The following is a 15,031-nucleotide window of genomic DNA, read 5'->3' as shown; positions in this document are numbered from 1 at the left end:
GCACTCCACCCTTGGCGCTGCAGCTTCTGGAAAGGGAGGAGGGTAGCTAGATGCATTCGCTGAGGGTTGACCATGCACCAGGCTTCGTGCTCAGCACCCACATGCATCGCCTCAGTTCATGCTAACAACCATGGGAGGCGAGGGTCTCCCCAGCACCCTCCACAGCTGAGGAGGCTGAGGCTCAGAGGTGGAGTCATGAGCTTGAGGTCACACAGCTGCAGCGTACAGCCAGGATGACCCCCCAGCTGCAGAACCTGTGCCCTTGACCACTGTGCCTCCCTTCAGTGGAGCCTCTCCCATGCTCCCCGCCAGCTTCTAATCACTGGGGCCGGTTCCTCTTACCTGGCAGGGAGGGCTGAAGCCAGGGCGGGGGGTCGCTCCAGCCAGGAGCTTACCAGCCAAAGCCTGCATAGCATGACCTTCACACAGATAGAGCCTAGCAGCCCCCTCTGGGAGGGAAACAGAGCCAGGGGTCACACAGAGCCCCAGGCACGTGCTCCCTGTGGCCCAAAGCAGCTGGTGGTGGGCGAGACTGGGAAGGACCCTATGACACAGCTGGCTCAGAAGCTGGGGCCACCACAGGCGGGGACACCCGGGCTCTGGGGCCAGTCTGAGACCTGGGATGGTTCTGTGAGGAGGAAAAGGGGAGAAGCAGCTGAAAGAGGTGGTTACTTCATGACACCTCACATCTGTGTGACGGGGATGATAACAGCCCCTGTCTGGGCCTAGGCCCTGGCTTAGAAATGGTGCCTGGTCAACATTCTGGCTCCCCCGCCCTTCCAGACCTTGCGGACTCCACCCACCCCAGGCTCCTCCTCAGCCCAGACCTCCTCCTCCCCAGGAACCACATCTCTCCCACCTCAGTCAGACAGTCCAAACCTGGAAAGCCCACGCCATCCTCTCACCCACCTCTCCCCAGATGGAGGCCCTGAGGTAGCAGTTCTCAGCCCATTGGGTGGACTTGGAAGGTGAGGCCCAGAGAGGTGAAGAGATTTTCCTGGCTGGGTGCGGTGGGTCACACCTGTAATCCCAGCATTTTGGGAGGCCGAGGTGGGCAGATCACCTGAGCTCAGGAGTTCAAGACCAGCATGGTGAAATTCCATCTCTACTAAAAATACAAAAAATTAGCCGGGCGTGGCAGCACGTGCCTGTAATCCCAGCTACCGGGGAGGCTGAGGTACAAAAATAACTTGTACCTGGGAGGTGGAGGTTGCAGTGAGCCGAGATTGCACCACTGCACTCCAGCCTGGGTGACAAGAGCAAGACTCCGTCACAAAAAAAAAAAAGAGAGAGAGATTTTTCCCAAGGGTGTGGTAGGATCAGAATCCAGCATTCCTGGTTGCTTTCAAGGTTGGGACCCCCTGAAGATTGGGAAGTGCCCCCCTGGTCAGACTGGGGGCTCTAGACCATGCCCCTGACACATGGAGGCTCAGGATCTGAGAAATGCTGCCTCGAAAAGATGCAGGACTGGAGCTTCTATGACCCGGATTCAGAGAAGACCCCAGGACTTAGAAGGAGGTTTTCAGCCTATAAGAGGTCAGGCAGACAAAAGTACAGGCCTGGATTCCATCCCACCTCCACCACATACTGTTTAGGGGACACATTACTGAGCCTCAGCACCTTGATCTATAAAATGGGAAGTAATAAGACTGTGATGGGGATGCAGTGAGATGTGCAAAGAAAATGCTGCGCACAGGCTGGCCGCGGTGACTCGCGCCTGTAATCCCAGCACTTTGGGAGGCCGAGGTGGGCAAATCGCTTGAGCCCAAGAGTTCCAAATTAGCCTGGACAACATGGCAAATCGCCGTCTCTATAAAAAAAAAAAAAAGAAAAGAAAAGAAAAGAAATACAAAAATTAGCTGGGCAAGGTGTCAGGCACCTGTAGTCCCAACATCTCGGGAGGCTGAGGTGGGAGGACCACTTGAGCCTGGGAGGACCACTTGAGCCCAGGAGGTCAAGGCTGCAGTGAGCCAAGATCACACCACTGCACTCCAGACTGGGTGACAGAACAAGACTCTCAAGAAAAAAAAGAAAGAAAAAGAAAGAAAGAAAGAAGAAAGAGAAAGAAAGAGAAGAAAGAAAGAAAGAGAGAGAAGAAAGAAAAGAAAGAAAGAGAAGAAACAAAGAGAAGAAAGAAAGAAGAAAGAGAAAGAAGAAAGAGAAAGAAAAAGAAGAAAGAGAAAGAAAAGAAAGAAAAAGAAAGAATGAAAAAGAAAGAAGAAAGAGAGAAAAAGAAAGAAAGAAAAAGAAAGAAAGAAAGAGGGAAGGGGAGGGAGAGAGGGAAGGAAGGAAGGAAGGAAGGAAGGAAATGCTGGGTACAAAACACAGCACATAGTAGGTGATCATTAAATGACCCTATCATTTTGTTGGCATTAAGGAGTCTAATGGAAAAGGCTGACAAGTTTAAGGACAGTAGCAGGATGAAGCAGTCAGGGGAAGTGCCAGGGCCTGAGGGCGGCAAGCCTGTATCTTTGTCACATGCACCAAGCAGTGGGAACAGCAACCAGATCCACCCCCCACCCCCCATATCAGTTACCGCAGAGCAGGCACAAAGTAAATATGCAATGTGGGCCTGGGGGACCGAGGGAGAAAATCTGGGAGTCTGATCCCAGGTCCTCGGACTCGTCGGTGGTTGTATCAGCTGTTGTATGACTTTATGGTCATTTATAGTCACTTAAAACAATAAGACTTTATCTTTGTTCGCATTTCTATTGACCAGCTGGGTGGTTCTTCTGGTCTCAGCTGGGGTCATTCATGCATTTATGTTCAGTTGAGGGTTGGCTCCACAGCTCTGCTCTCCTGACTGGGCTCTCTCACATGTCTGAGGATTGGGTGACAGGATGTCCCCAGCTAAGACAACTGAGCTCTGCGCCAGTGGTCTCTTGCCCACTGCAGGCTGGCCTGAGCTTGTCCACACAGCAACTGGGCAGAATAATGAGAGAGAGAGAGCACAAATGTGTGCAAGACTTTTTTGAGGCCTAAGCTTGCACCTAGCACACGGCTCTTCCCCCACGTTCTACTGCCCAAAGCCAACCCAGGATCCAGGGATAGGGAACTAGACTCTCCACTCTGGGGATGCAAGGAGAGGTGAGAATTACAGCCATTTTTGCAATAATCTCCCACAGTGATGGTTAAGAACATGAGCTGGACTCTAATTCCCACTCGCTAACCGCTTGCTGGGAGAGCTTGGGCAATGTCTTCTCTTCTCTGAGTCTGTTTCCTCATCTACAACACGGTCAAAGCAATTCCAGCTCCCCGAGAGTTTTGTGGCGATTCGGAGCAATCAGGCATTTGAAGTGCCTAGCGTGGTGCCTGGGCCTGGTGAGTACCAGAACATGTGGGTTCCCTCCCTTTTCCCCAGGAAACCGAGCTGTGGATGGCGATCCGATGTTCACACTTTGCAGGAAAGGGCTGGGGGCCCGGTTGGGGGTCTGCTGCACCCCCACTCCCTCCCTACCTTTCATCTTGCCCCCTCTGGAGCCCTCCTGCTGGGGCCTCACAGCACCCGGGGTCTTAAGGATAGTTAAGTAGCAAACTATGTGTTCATAATAAAATTTGCCGGCTTCTCACAGACATCCAATTTGCTTACCATCCAAAGAGAAGGATTGGGTGCCTGCTTCTGAAATTGTTTTAATCTCTGCCACAGAATGCTTCTGGCAGGGTTTTTCAACTGGAAAATAGGAAATGAGTTAGAAACAATGGAGGAACGTGAATAATCTCACTTAAGACGTTTGATCTTGAGATGAGATGAAGTTGAAATCGATTTCCCGGTTCACAGCCAGACAGCGGCGGGTGGGAGGGGAGAGAGCTGGGGGAGATGGGACATCCAGGCCTGTCTGGGCTCCAGCTCTGCTGGGACAAGGACCCCCCCGCTCCTGCAAAACTCTGACAAACTGCACAGTGGGTGAGAGGTTGCCCCAGCCCCATCACCTCAAAGGCAGGCATGACCGAAGCTCTTTGGTTTTTCCAAGTCTATGTTAATGGTTGACAAACCAGCCCACACATCTGTTTAACAGATATTCACTGTGTGCCTGCTACGTGCCATGGCCTGTCCTCAGGGAACTCACAGGAGGTGACTGTGAACAGGATGGAGAGTGAGGAGCTAATGTTTGTGGAGGACTGTCTATGTCCAGGCATGGGTTAAGAAGGCTGCATCCATGATGCTACACAGAACCGGGAGTCAGGGATTCTTGTGCCCTCTTTTCAGATGAGGAAATGGCCTCAGAGCTATGTGTGTCTGACTTTTCGGAGGACAGGATCCAGATGTGACTGCAGAGTTTGTGTGCTTTGCATGGAGGGGTATTCTGTCCAGGCAGGTGGCTTGGGCAGAAGCCAGGCAGGAGGGTACAATAGGGAGAGCTCAGGGAGCCATGAGGAGGCGTGGGTGGACTGGACCTTGGCAGTGCCAGGGTCTCTTCCCTGCTGCCCCCTGCCCAATTCAACTTGGAGAAGTAGCCTGGCCTTAGGTCTAGGAAGGGACATGTTCTCAAGGCCCAGCCAGGCAGAGTGAGCGGCCACTCACACCCTGATCTTCACACAGACACCCTCACACATCACCTGAACACACAGACCTAGACAGACACACACGTTTATAAATACAGACACACAACACATACTGTATGGACAGAGACAGCTAGACGCACGTGTGTGTGTGTGTGTGTGTGCGCGCGCACGCGCGCGCACGTCAGCGCATACACGCATGCTCACACTCTCTAAGAGGTCACAGTCTCTTTGGGGGCAGCGACTATGTCTGTCTTGCTCACCACTCTGTCACCAGCACAGATCCTGGCTCATAACAGGGCCTCTCTAAATAATGATGAAGTTGAACTCAATTCCCACACGGAAACACAGACACATGCACACGTGGTTTGTGTGCATGGCGGCTGATGCTGGCGGAGAGGTGGTTTCGTCTCTGCAGTCCCCAGTGGGGGTTTCAGGGGACTTTCACGGGTGGAGACAGAAGCTGCCAAGGTGGAACCTAGAGGGTGAGCTGGGTCTGGGGGAGATTCACGGCTCTCGGTCTCTTCTCCTGCAGCCTGGCTGGGCTTAGGGACCTAGCCTATCTGAAAGCCTCTGTCTAGCTTTCCTGCCATTAAGCCTCCATGGAGAGACCCCAAACCTCCCCCTATAACAGCCTCCACTAGGGTCTGGCCTCTTGGGGTCCTGGGTTGGGGGTTTAATGCATTATTGATTTCCCCAAGAAGGGAAAGTGCTGCAGCCATGGGTCCAGGTAGCTTATTTTGTGCGTCGATGACATTCAGGTACTAGTGAAAAATTATACCAATTATTAAATCAGCCATTATTACTTCAAAGTGCAATCAGTTGTCACAGCGGAGAGAGCTTGCACGGCGCGTTATTAGTCGGGCTGTGTGCACGGGGAAAGTGCTGAGAGGGGAGACTTTAACCAAAGGGCAAATGCATGAAATTTACTTAGAAATAGCGATTTATCACCCCTGGGTTTCCTACTGCTCAAATCCAGGCAGACACTTCACTGGCAGGAGACAGGCTCCGCGGCCGCCCCTGCCTCCTGCAGCTCCCACCCTGACAGGAAATGAAAAATTGAGAAGTCGTTGTAACAGCTTAAAGATGCATTATCCTTTTTGATGTGCAATTTGAGCTTCATATCCAAAGGCAGATGAAATCACCGCACCCACGCCAGGCAGAGCGGAAAGAGCCACCTTTCCATGTGCTGGGAGGGGGTGGTGGTGGGGGCGCCAGCCGGCCTGGCCCCACCTGGCCCTGGCTGCCTCTCCAAGCCCAGGGGACACCAGGGGGCCAGCACTGGGGTCAAGGAGACAGAGCGATCTCAGGCAGAGTGGGAGGCAGGGAAGGAAGAAAGAGATGTAGCGTGAAGAGAGAAAGACATAAAGAAAAAGAGACATGCAAATGCAAAGAGGGAGAAAGAAACAGAAGAGAGGGTGAAAGGGAACGAAAGAGTGGGAAATAAAGAAAAGTAGAAAGATGAGGCATCGTGAGCCACAGAGACAGAAAGTGGGAGGAGAGGGACAGAAAGGTAGACAGAAAACGCCCACCAGAAACCAAATGTGGGCAATGGCCGCGTGCCTAGGGAAGACGTGTGTGCACGTGTGAGTGTATGGGTGCACACGTGTGTGCATGGGTGTGAGCCAGTGTCAGTGGAGAAGAGTATGCACATGTTCACACGAGTGTGCGTGCATGTGTGAGGGTGTTGTGAGTGTCTGCACACAAGCGCTTAGGTGTGAGTATGTGTATGTGAGGGTGAGGTTGGTCCTTTCCCTGTCGGGAGGCTCATCAGCCTTTGTTATTTTTCTTCCCTTAGATTGGAAGATTGATGAGGGCAGGGGCGGTAGCTGTATGTAGTTCTCCCCACTGCTCCTCCAGGGCTTGACACAGTGTCTTGCACATGGCAGGGACGTAATGACTATTGGATGAGTGTGTGAGTGTGTGCAAGTGTGAATCGGTGAGATCAGAATCACAGCTGCTGTCAGAGGAGGACCACGTCAAGAAGCTTTCAGCCCAGACGTGTGCAGGAGAAAGTAGATGCTATATCTGTCAATCACTGTCTTTGATTTTTCTCATTGCTGTGACCCCACCTCCATCAGCCACACAGCACAGTGAGGCCCCAGAACCACCTTCGCCCCCACCATCTGCCAACTGTCCCTGTTCTTATGGCATCGTGCCTGGCACGGCCCACTCCCTGCAGGACATCCCTGGATCGTGGGCCACTGACAGCTGAGGGTGAATGGAAGCCCTCACTCTAGAAGCCAATGGAAGGTCAGGGACACAGGTGCATGACTCAGAAAGACCAGGGTGACTCTTACCTCCACGGCCCTGTGACCTTGAGCAAGCGATGGCGTCTCCCTGAGCCTCTTTCCTTATTTGGCAGATGGGCCCTAGGGCTGTGAGGGGCTCTGACACCCTGTGTGGGCCCCGCACTGGGAAGAATGAGCCTGTCATGATGTCACAGAGTTTCAGCCAACCTTAGAGGGCCGGTGGCAAGGTGGCCACTGCCCATAGGGACCCCAAAATGAACCCCTGTGTCTCCATATGCCCGGGGCCCACAGTTGAAGATCTGAGACCCATTCACCCGATGGGCTGCCCTGGGGCCTTAAAATCAACCCTGTTGTTTGAGGGTGGTACGGGCAGGGCTCACAGGAGAGCATCAAGGGGACGACACATACAAGTCCCCACTTTGCACACATCCCTAAGAAAGCCGGGTGGGGTACCTCAGAGGTAGAGGGAGAGGTGAGGAGCACTGGGGCCGGGCAGATAGGTCCACCTCCATCACCTGAATGGAAACCTCAGCAGCACACCGGCCCTGCCCATCTTGCCGTCACTCAAGTTAGCTGAGCGCATAAATCATTTGTCACTCTCAAGTTGAGTGACCTTGGCAAAGCACTTCACCTCTCTGATCCTTCACTTTGTCATTAGCAAAAGGGTTCCCACTGCATGGGCCACCGAGGCCTGGCTGAGTGAGGCGTGTGCAGTCAGCCACGGACGGGAAGGAAACCATAGCAGCAATATTTAATATTATTCACAAAAAAAGGAAAGAAAAGAAGGATATATGTAAGGGTGGGTATCTCTAGGTGATAGAATTAAGGATGTTTTTTATTTTCTTCTTGTTCTTCTTTGTATTTGTTAGGTCCTTACTGGCTTTATAACCAGGAGAACATAATACATTTACTTTACAATAAATAAGGAAGTCTTTTATAAAATTCCCAGGAGGGGGCCAGGCGCAGTGGCTCACGCCTATAACCCCAGCAGTTTGGGAGGCCAAGGCGGGCAGATCACCTGAGGTCAGGAGTTCAAGACCAATCTGGCCAACATGGGGAACCCCTGTCTCTACTAAAAATACAAAAAATTAGCCAGATATGGTGGTGCACGCCTATAGCTCCAGGTACTCAGGAGGCTGAGGCAGGAGAATTGCTTGAACCCAGGAGGCGGAGGTTGTGGTGAGCTGAGATCGTGCCACTGCACTCCAGCCTGGGTGACAAGAGCAAAACTCTACCTCAAAATGAAATAAAATAAAATAAAATAAAAAAGTTTCCAGGAGGGGGCAGGTTTTCCCAGGACCCTCCTCGCTGCTGCTGAACCTGAGGATGATGGCACCTCACTCCTCCAGCCTGGGGGCATTTGCGCCCCAGGGCTCAGGGCTGTGCAGGGATACCTTTGGGGCCCCAAAGCCCCCAATCCCATTTCCTCGAGCAGCTGGGGGGCCTGGCATGTGTGCAGAAGAGGTCCATTCCCTTTCAGGCTCACCTTCCTGCTGAGCAGTCTCACAAAACCTCTGAACCTGAGTCTGAGGCTCTTCCTAGGTGCACTGCCACCACCATGGGGCCAAACGTCATGGGTCCTTTCGCTGTCTTCCCAGGAGACTGGAAGTTCATTGTCAAAACACACAGACACACAGACATGCCTCTGCCAGGACCCACGAGCCCTTGCTGTACCTACCCTCCTTGTTCTTCCAATCCCTGTGCCAGGCATTCACAAATTATCAAAGCAAACTCAGCAGTATTATCCCCATTTCCGAGGCAGGGAAGCTGAGGCCCAGAGATGGGATGTGATTTGCTGCAAGAGTGCTGGGGGCGAGGCAGAATTCACCCCAGCCTGCCCGACACCAGGCCTGTGCCCTTTCCGTGACACTGTCTTACTAGTAACAGATGGCAGGGAGAACGCAGAACTAATCAACTGCTCTATTGATTTCAACTTCTCCATTGAGGAGATCGATCTTGCCATTAGAAAGGGGCAGACAGACATCGTTAGTGGAAATTGGAGACCCAGCTCAGGGAGGCAGTTGGCAGTGCAGTGGATGCTGCTCCGTCTGAGCTCTGGTTGCCTTACAGGCCCGGTATGGGTCATGCCTAGTGGGCACCAGACAGGAAAGGGTGGCCAAGGCTCTGGGACCCATAGACCATGCAGCACCTGAGAGGTGCCCTCTGGCTGGCTAGGGATGGAGGTGGGCTCTGAACACCAGTTTCCAGTTCACTACAGTCATGGCAAGCCTTCTAGCCTCAGTCATGTTGTTCATCTGTCTGTCTTTCCATACATCCCTCCTTCATCCATCCATCCTTCCACCTCCCTAGTCATCTAACCTTTCCTGAATTCCTCCTCTGAACCAAGCACTGTGTAAGATGTTAGGGTTCTGAAGGGGAACCTTGGCATGCCCATCTTCTAGTCAGGGGCTGGGGACTGATTGCAATTTATCCTGTTTCACATTTTTCTCAGTGACCCAGATGACCCACCAAGGACTGGCAAATCACTGAAGTGACAAGCTAAACCTCAGGCCACAAAATAATCCAGATGTAAATTCTCCCTAGAAGTTGGTCCTTTTCCTGTTGGGGGGCTCATCAGCCTTTGTTGTTTTTCTTCCCTTAGAATGGAAGATTGATGAGGGCAGGGACCGTGGCTGTATGTAGTTCTCCCCACTGCTCCTCCAGGGCTTGACAGGGTGCCTCGCACAAGGCAGAGGCCCAATGGCTATTGGGTGAATGGATAGATGGATGGATGGATGAATTGTTGGGTGGATGGGTGGGTGGATGGATGGATGGATGAATTGTTGGGTGGATGAATTGGGTGGATGGATGGGTGGATGGATAGATGGATAAATGATTGGATGAATGTATGGATGGATGCATGGATAGATGGGTGGATGGACGGATAATTGTCGGATGGATGGATGAACTGGATGGATGGATGGATGGATGGATGGACGGACGGATGGATAGATGAATTGTTAAATGGATGGGTAACTTGGATGGATGAATTGTATGTATGTATGGGTGGGTGGAAGGATAGATGAGTGGTTGGATGGGGGGGTGAGTAGATGAGTGGATGGGTGAACGGATACATGTATGGGTGGATAACTGAAATTGTTGTGGCTCAGAGAGGCTCCCAGATGCAAATCTGAAAGAGTTTAGGAGCTTATCCCTTCCATACAGTTGTTTCTGCAGCTTGAATATCCCATTTTGATTTGCTTAATTCTGGTGGAAGGGATCTCACTATGCAGCCAGCAGCCTACTCCATGGCTGGATGGCTCTCACCGGAGACTGCCCACCTGGGCCAAGCCAGGACTAGGAAGCTAACTCCCACCATTAAGTTTAACCCTTCATCAAATAAGTTAAATCATGTCATTGAAGGCAACAACCCTTCTCATCCATGTGCAAAGTTCTCATAGCCTTCATCTGTAATCCTGATTACCTTTGCATCTGGGTGGCTCTCAGCTCACTCAGAAATGTCAAGTTATTTCTTAAAGTGAGACTCCCTGAGGAGAGGAAACTCCCTAAGGAAGCAACACTTTGGATAAATTTTCACTAGTTCGGAAATGATGGAGACTATCACCTCCTTTGTTCTAGACTCCATATCTCTATTAATACAGCCTGAGATCAGACATCAAATGATCTAACATATGTGGAGGTGCTTAGTACTGTGCCTGGCAGTGTTATGCAAGATTTTGCTGGGACTTTCCAGAACTGTTCAGACATAGACCAAACAAGATTCAAGGCCAAAACAAGCATGGATTACTATGCTGCAGGAACAACTGTCAATAAAATCAATGAAATCAAATGGGGTGAAAACGTAGGGCTGCCCAGCACAGGTTCTGGTATGCATTAGAAATGAGAGGTCTCTTGCAGGGTGTGTCACACTTTAAGAATTGGGATTCCACTTAAACACCCTGATCCTCGTCCCATGAACCAGCATCACAGACTCAATCTAATGCTACCCTCGTGAAATCATGAATGGAAGATGGTCGATTCAGATGGCCCTTCCATAGACAGAGCACTTACTGCATGCTCAGAATGTCACTCAGTGCTTTGCCAAGTCATCTCTTGCTACATCTCATTATGGTGGTTGGGAAGCAGCGTTTTTTGAGCACCCACTGTGTGCTATGTGCTAAGGATGGGAAGATGACAGTGAGCAGGGCAGCCCTGGTTCCTTTCTTTAGCTCAGCTGCAGTTGGTAGGAAATCTTTGCCAAGCAGTGTGCAGGGGAGTTCACCTCCCACAGAGTTGGGCAGGGGGTCACTAGGGTGGGGTCCAGACTAGGGAGAAGCCAGTGAGGCACCTAACCTAAGGAGGCACTCACTCTCAAGGGTGTGCAAGTGTGCACAAGTGTGCAATTGGCACCAGAGTGTAAGCACCTTGTTACATTTTGCACTGTGAGCACTTCACTTCTCTTACTTTAGTTCCAAGGGAATGCTGCCTAAGGAAGGAGAAACTGGGTCCCCGGAGGGCAGCCCAGTGTGGGGAGTGGAGCCCTGGGAGCCAGGGGTATTTGTCTGGCTGCAGGGGAGAGGCAGAAATGAGAGCCCCAGGTGGAGAGGCAGCTCAGGGAGGCTGTGGGGCAGGGGGTCAGGGCAAACCCTTACACGATAAACAGACGCAAGTCACTCAGTTGCTCAGCAGCAAAAACTATTACTCACAATAATGAAGGACCAATTGTGCCTCCCCAGGAGGGAGGGACATTTCTCAAGGGCTCTCTGACACTCCCTCTACCTCCCAGCCCAGAACAGACAGCCCGAACGTTCCTCACAGCCTGTAAGGAGCTGTGAGGGAGGCCCAGAGCTAGTAAAGTCTGGGAGGCAGGGAAGGGGCACCCTGACTCCCCGAGGTGCAGAGAGGTTGGTCCCACAAGGCCCCTGGGGCCAGGGGAAGGGGCTCCCAATCAGTCCTTGGAAGGCTGCTCTGCAAAATGAGAGCCCGAGCAGGCAATTGCCTCTGGCACATGAAAAACTCCAGATCTATAACTTCCTGGAACATAATTAGCTGCTAACTTCAGAGATGCATTGGGGTTTGTGTAATAGGCACTGGGGCAGCTCAAGAACCGCGGAAACTGGGAGAAAAATGGGGCCATCTGGCTCGAAAATGGAATGAGACAAAAGGCTTGCAATGCAGAGCTTCCTGCAACTGAGACGCTGAGACCTGAGGAAAATCGTAATTATCATGATCGCTCCCTTCTATGGGTGCCAGGCACTCCGCCAAGTGCTTCACATTCGAGCTCTTTGAGTGTTTACATAACTCCATGGTGCAGGCATCATTATCGGAAATGACAAGCGACTGTCCAGAGGTCACGGACACAACCGGGATTTGAACACACAACTGATTTCAGAGTCCAACTCCCATCCACTGTCTCTACCACTCCAGATAGAAACTCCAGGTCCTCAAGTCACTCCCACCTCCCCAGGAGAGGGTGGGCACGAGGAACAAATGTTAGAAAATGACCTCTTCCTCTTTCCTGGAAACCCACCCAGCCCATTCTGATCAAGGGTGGCAACAAGACAGAGACGCTGAAAGCAGAGAAATGATCAGACCTGGTTCCTCCTAGGGCATCCATCCCAAGGGACGTATTAGCTGGGACAAGTTATACCCGCCTCTGTAACAAATAACTGCCAAACCTCAGTAGCTTAACACAATAGAGGTTTATTTCCCACTTGGGAAAAGGGGTAAAGTCCACTGGAGTGGGGAGGGCTGAGCTCTGTTCCACACAGTCATTCAGCGGCCCAGGCACCCTCCATCCGTGGCTCTGCTCTTCCCTGGGGCCTCAGAGTTCTCTGTAGAAGGGGCCACACAGATCAGCCCTAGGAGTACTTCACTTCCAGCAGCATTCAGTCACATGGGTCAGACTCAGCCACATGACTACATCTGCTTGCAAGGGAGACTGGGAATGAAGGAGGAAAAGGAAATAGGCTTACTGAAGTGTCACAGAAGGGAAGCCTGTTTCATCCCTCCACCCCTCCCTCCATCCACCCATTATCCATTCACAATGTAATGAGATCTACTGTCTGCTGGGCACCATGCAGTGTTTTAGATAGAGCTGGGAGCAAAACAGACCGTGACCTTGACCCCATAGAGTTCAGCCTAGAGGAAAAGAGAAACATTTTTATAATGAACAAATTACAATTATTGTTAAATATTGTATTCTTTTAAAGTGTAGTGCATACATTACACTTTAAAAGAATATAATATTTAACAATAATTGTAATTTGGGCGCACAGGGGCCCATAGCAGTGTGTGGCACTGGGGCCTGAGCAAGGCTGAGAAATCCAGGAAGGCTTCCCTGAAGAAGTGTCTTTTATGCAGTCGTAAAAGACATGAAGGGATTCGTTGAGCGGGCTGTATGAAGAGTTTTCCAGGCAGAGGAGACAGTTCAGGCAAAGGCCCTTGAGGAAACTTGTTCCTGCTCATTGTGGAGTCACTACCTATCCAGACCTGCCCAGATGTATGTCTGCAAGAGGCCCCTCCCTGGACCCTCAGGGAGGGCTCTTGGAATGTCTGGGGCTCTCCCTGCAGCCTCCATACCTCACTCCTCCTGGCACTGCCCCCTCTCGACAGGCTTTCCCAGCTGAGTTCCCAAGAGGGCAGGACACTACCCTGGACCAGCTCCATTTCTATCTCCATCCAGACTGCAGGCCTGTGGAGCTTGAATGTAAGCCTATGTCCACCGGAGACACTCTTGGGCTATGGATCTCAGGTCACCAAACCCTTCAACCCTGAAGGTTTAAATGCCCTCTGGAGAGGCTGGGCCCTGCTGACTTGCCTCAGACCAAGCCCTGGCCACAGCACCCCTGGGCAGAGTACCCCTCGCCTCCCAGTACCCCAACATGGTAGGGAAGGAGATTCTTTTTAATTTTTTTGAGACAGAGTTTCGCTCTTGTCGCCCAGGCTGGAGTGCAGTGGCGCAATCTCGGCTCACTGCAACCTCCGCCTCCCTGGTTCAAGTGATTCTCCTGCCTCAGCCTCTCAAGTAGCTGGGATTACAGGTGTCTGCCACCACACCCGGCTAATTTTTGTATTTTTTAGTAGAGACAGGGTTTCACCATGTTGGCCGGGCTGGTCTTGAACTCCTGACCTCAGGTGATCCACCTGCCTCAGCCTCCCAGAGTGCTGGGATTACAGGCATGAGCCACCGCACCCGGGTGGGCCACAGCGCCCAGCCAGGAAAGGAGATTATTGACTAATACTTCCATGGCCTTGGGGGCCCAGCTATCTGGCAAAGCACAGCCCTGCCATCTCCCTAGAATCATCCATGTTGAATAGAACCACCTTGACAATCCACTTACTGGTGGTGACATTCTAAAGGGCAGTTGCTAAGTTGCTTTCCAAGAGGCTGGGCCCTGCTGACCAGAGGGCCCCAGTCTTCTCTGAGCACATGGTAAGTACGGAAATAGCAAGGCTAGAGACAGAGACTAAGTAGAGCTGAACTGCTCTACATCCTAGAGGGCTAAGAAGTTTGTGGTGGGGTGGGATGGAAGGAGACAAGCCCACCAGGCTGGCCACTGGGAGAGGCAGGGGACAGCAAAGAATCCCTGGGCAGAGGAACAAGGGAGGAAGAGCTTCTCTATTGTCTCTAAAAATACTCAGCAAACATTATTCACTGGTCCTTCTACTTGGGAGTCCCCACGGAGATGCTGAATTCTGCAATCAGTCTGGCATGGGGCACAAAGCAGAGAAGTAGCCCATGGGCACAGGCGCTGGAGAACGAAGGGACGGCCACATCTGGGCCACCAGCAGGATGGGAGATCCTTTCAAGGCTGCGGGTTACCTGAGTGGCAGGTTGTGTTTTCCCTGTGCTATTGGCTGGTAGGTGCGGCACAAGCTCAGGGCAAGCAGAGGTCTAGAGAGTTCATGCCCCTAGAAGCAGACATGGACAATGACGTACGGTGAGACATCAACCGGTAAACAGCCAAGTTGTCCTGTCCGGCAGCTGGGTTAACTCCGAGGCATGCCCTGCGTCTCCTGAAGCTCCCCAGCAGATTCTACTCCAGTTGCCCATGATGGCAGCTTGTCTGACAACTCATCTTCTATCCACTCTTTCTCTTCCCTGTCTCCCTTCCCCACTCTCTGCTGGTGTTTCCTGGGATCACTTCTCAGATATACGACTTGCTCTGATATCCTCTCAGGTTCTGCCTGTGAAGCAGCTCAAACCAAGACAACAGGTCCAGTGCTTGGCAGGACCATGACTGGTGCACTGTCTTCTTGGTCATGCTCTGATTGGAGGATTATCCTTGGCCGGTGGTTCTCACCAGGAAAAGTGTGCTCTCCTGGGTCCCCTGCAA

The 15,031-nt window shown here is 51.9% G+C and overlaps 2 annotated features.

Moving 5' to 3' along the window:
• Window positions 232-733: an enhancer, noted in NCBI's record as "H3K4me1 hESC enhancer chr9:128924749-128925250 (GRCh37/hg19 assembly coordinates)". NCBI's record gives its function as "activates a minimal SCP1, AML or CMV promoter by ChIP-STARR-seq in naive and primed H9 embryonic stem cells {active_cell/tissue: H9 hESC(naive and primed)}" and the evidence as "EXISTENCE:reporter gene assay evidence [ECO:0000049][PMID:30033119]".
• Window positions 5,050-5,808: an enhancer, noted in NCBI's record as "VISTA enhancer hs1015". NCBI's record gives its function as "enhancer in: midbrain (mesencephalon)[4/7]" and the evidence as "EXISTENCE:transgenic organism evidence [ECO:0001131][PMID:17130149]".

The sequence above is a fragment of the Homo sapiens genome, chromosome 9, assembly GCF_000001405.40.
Source record: "Homo sapiens chromosome 9, GRCh38.p14 Primary Assembly".
NCBI classification, from domain to species: Eukaryota; Metazoa; Chordata; class Mammalia; order Primates; family Hominidae; genus Homo; species Homo sapiens.
Note: the sequence above shows the minus strand (reverse complement) of the source record. Positions and strands in the feature narration are given on the sequence as shown.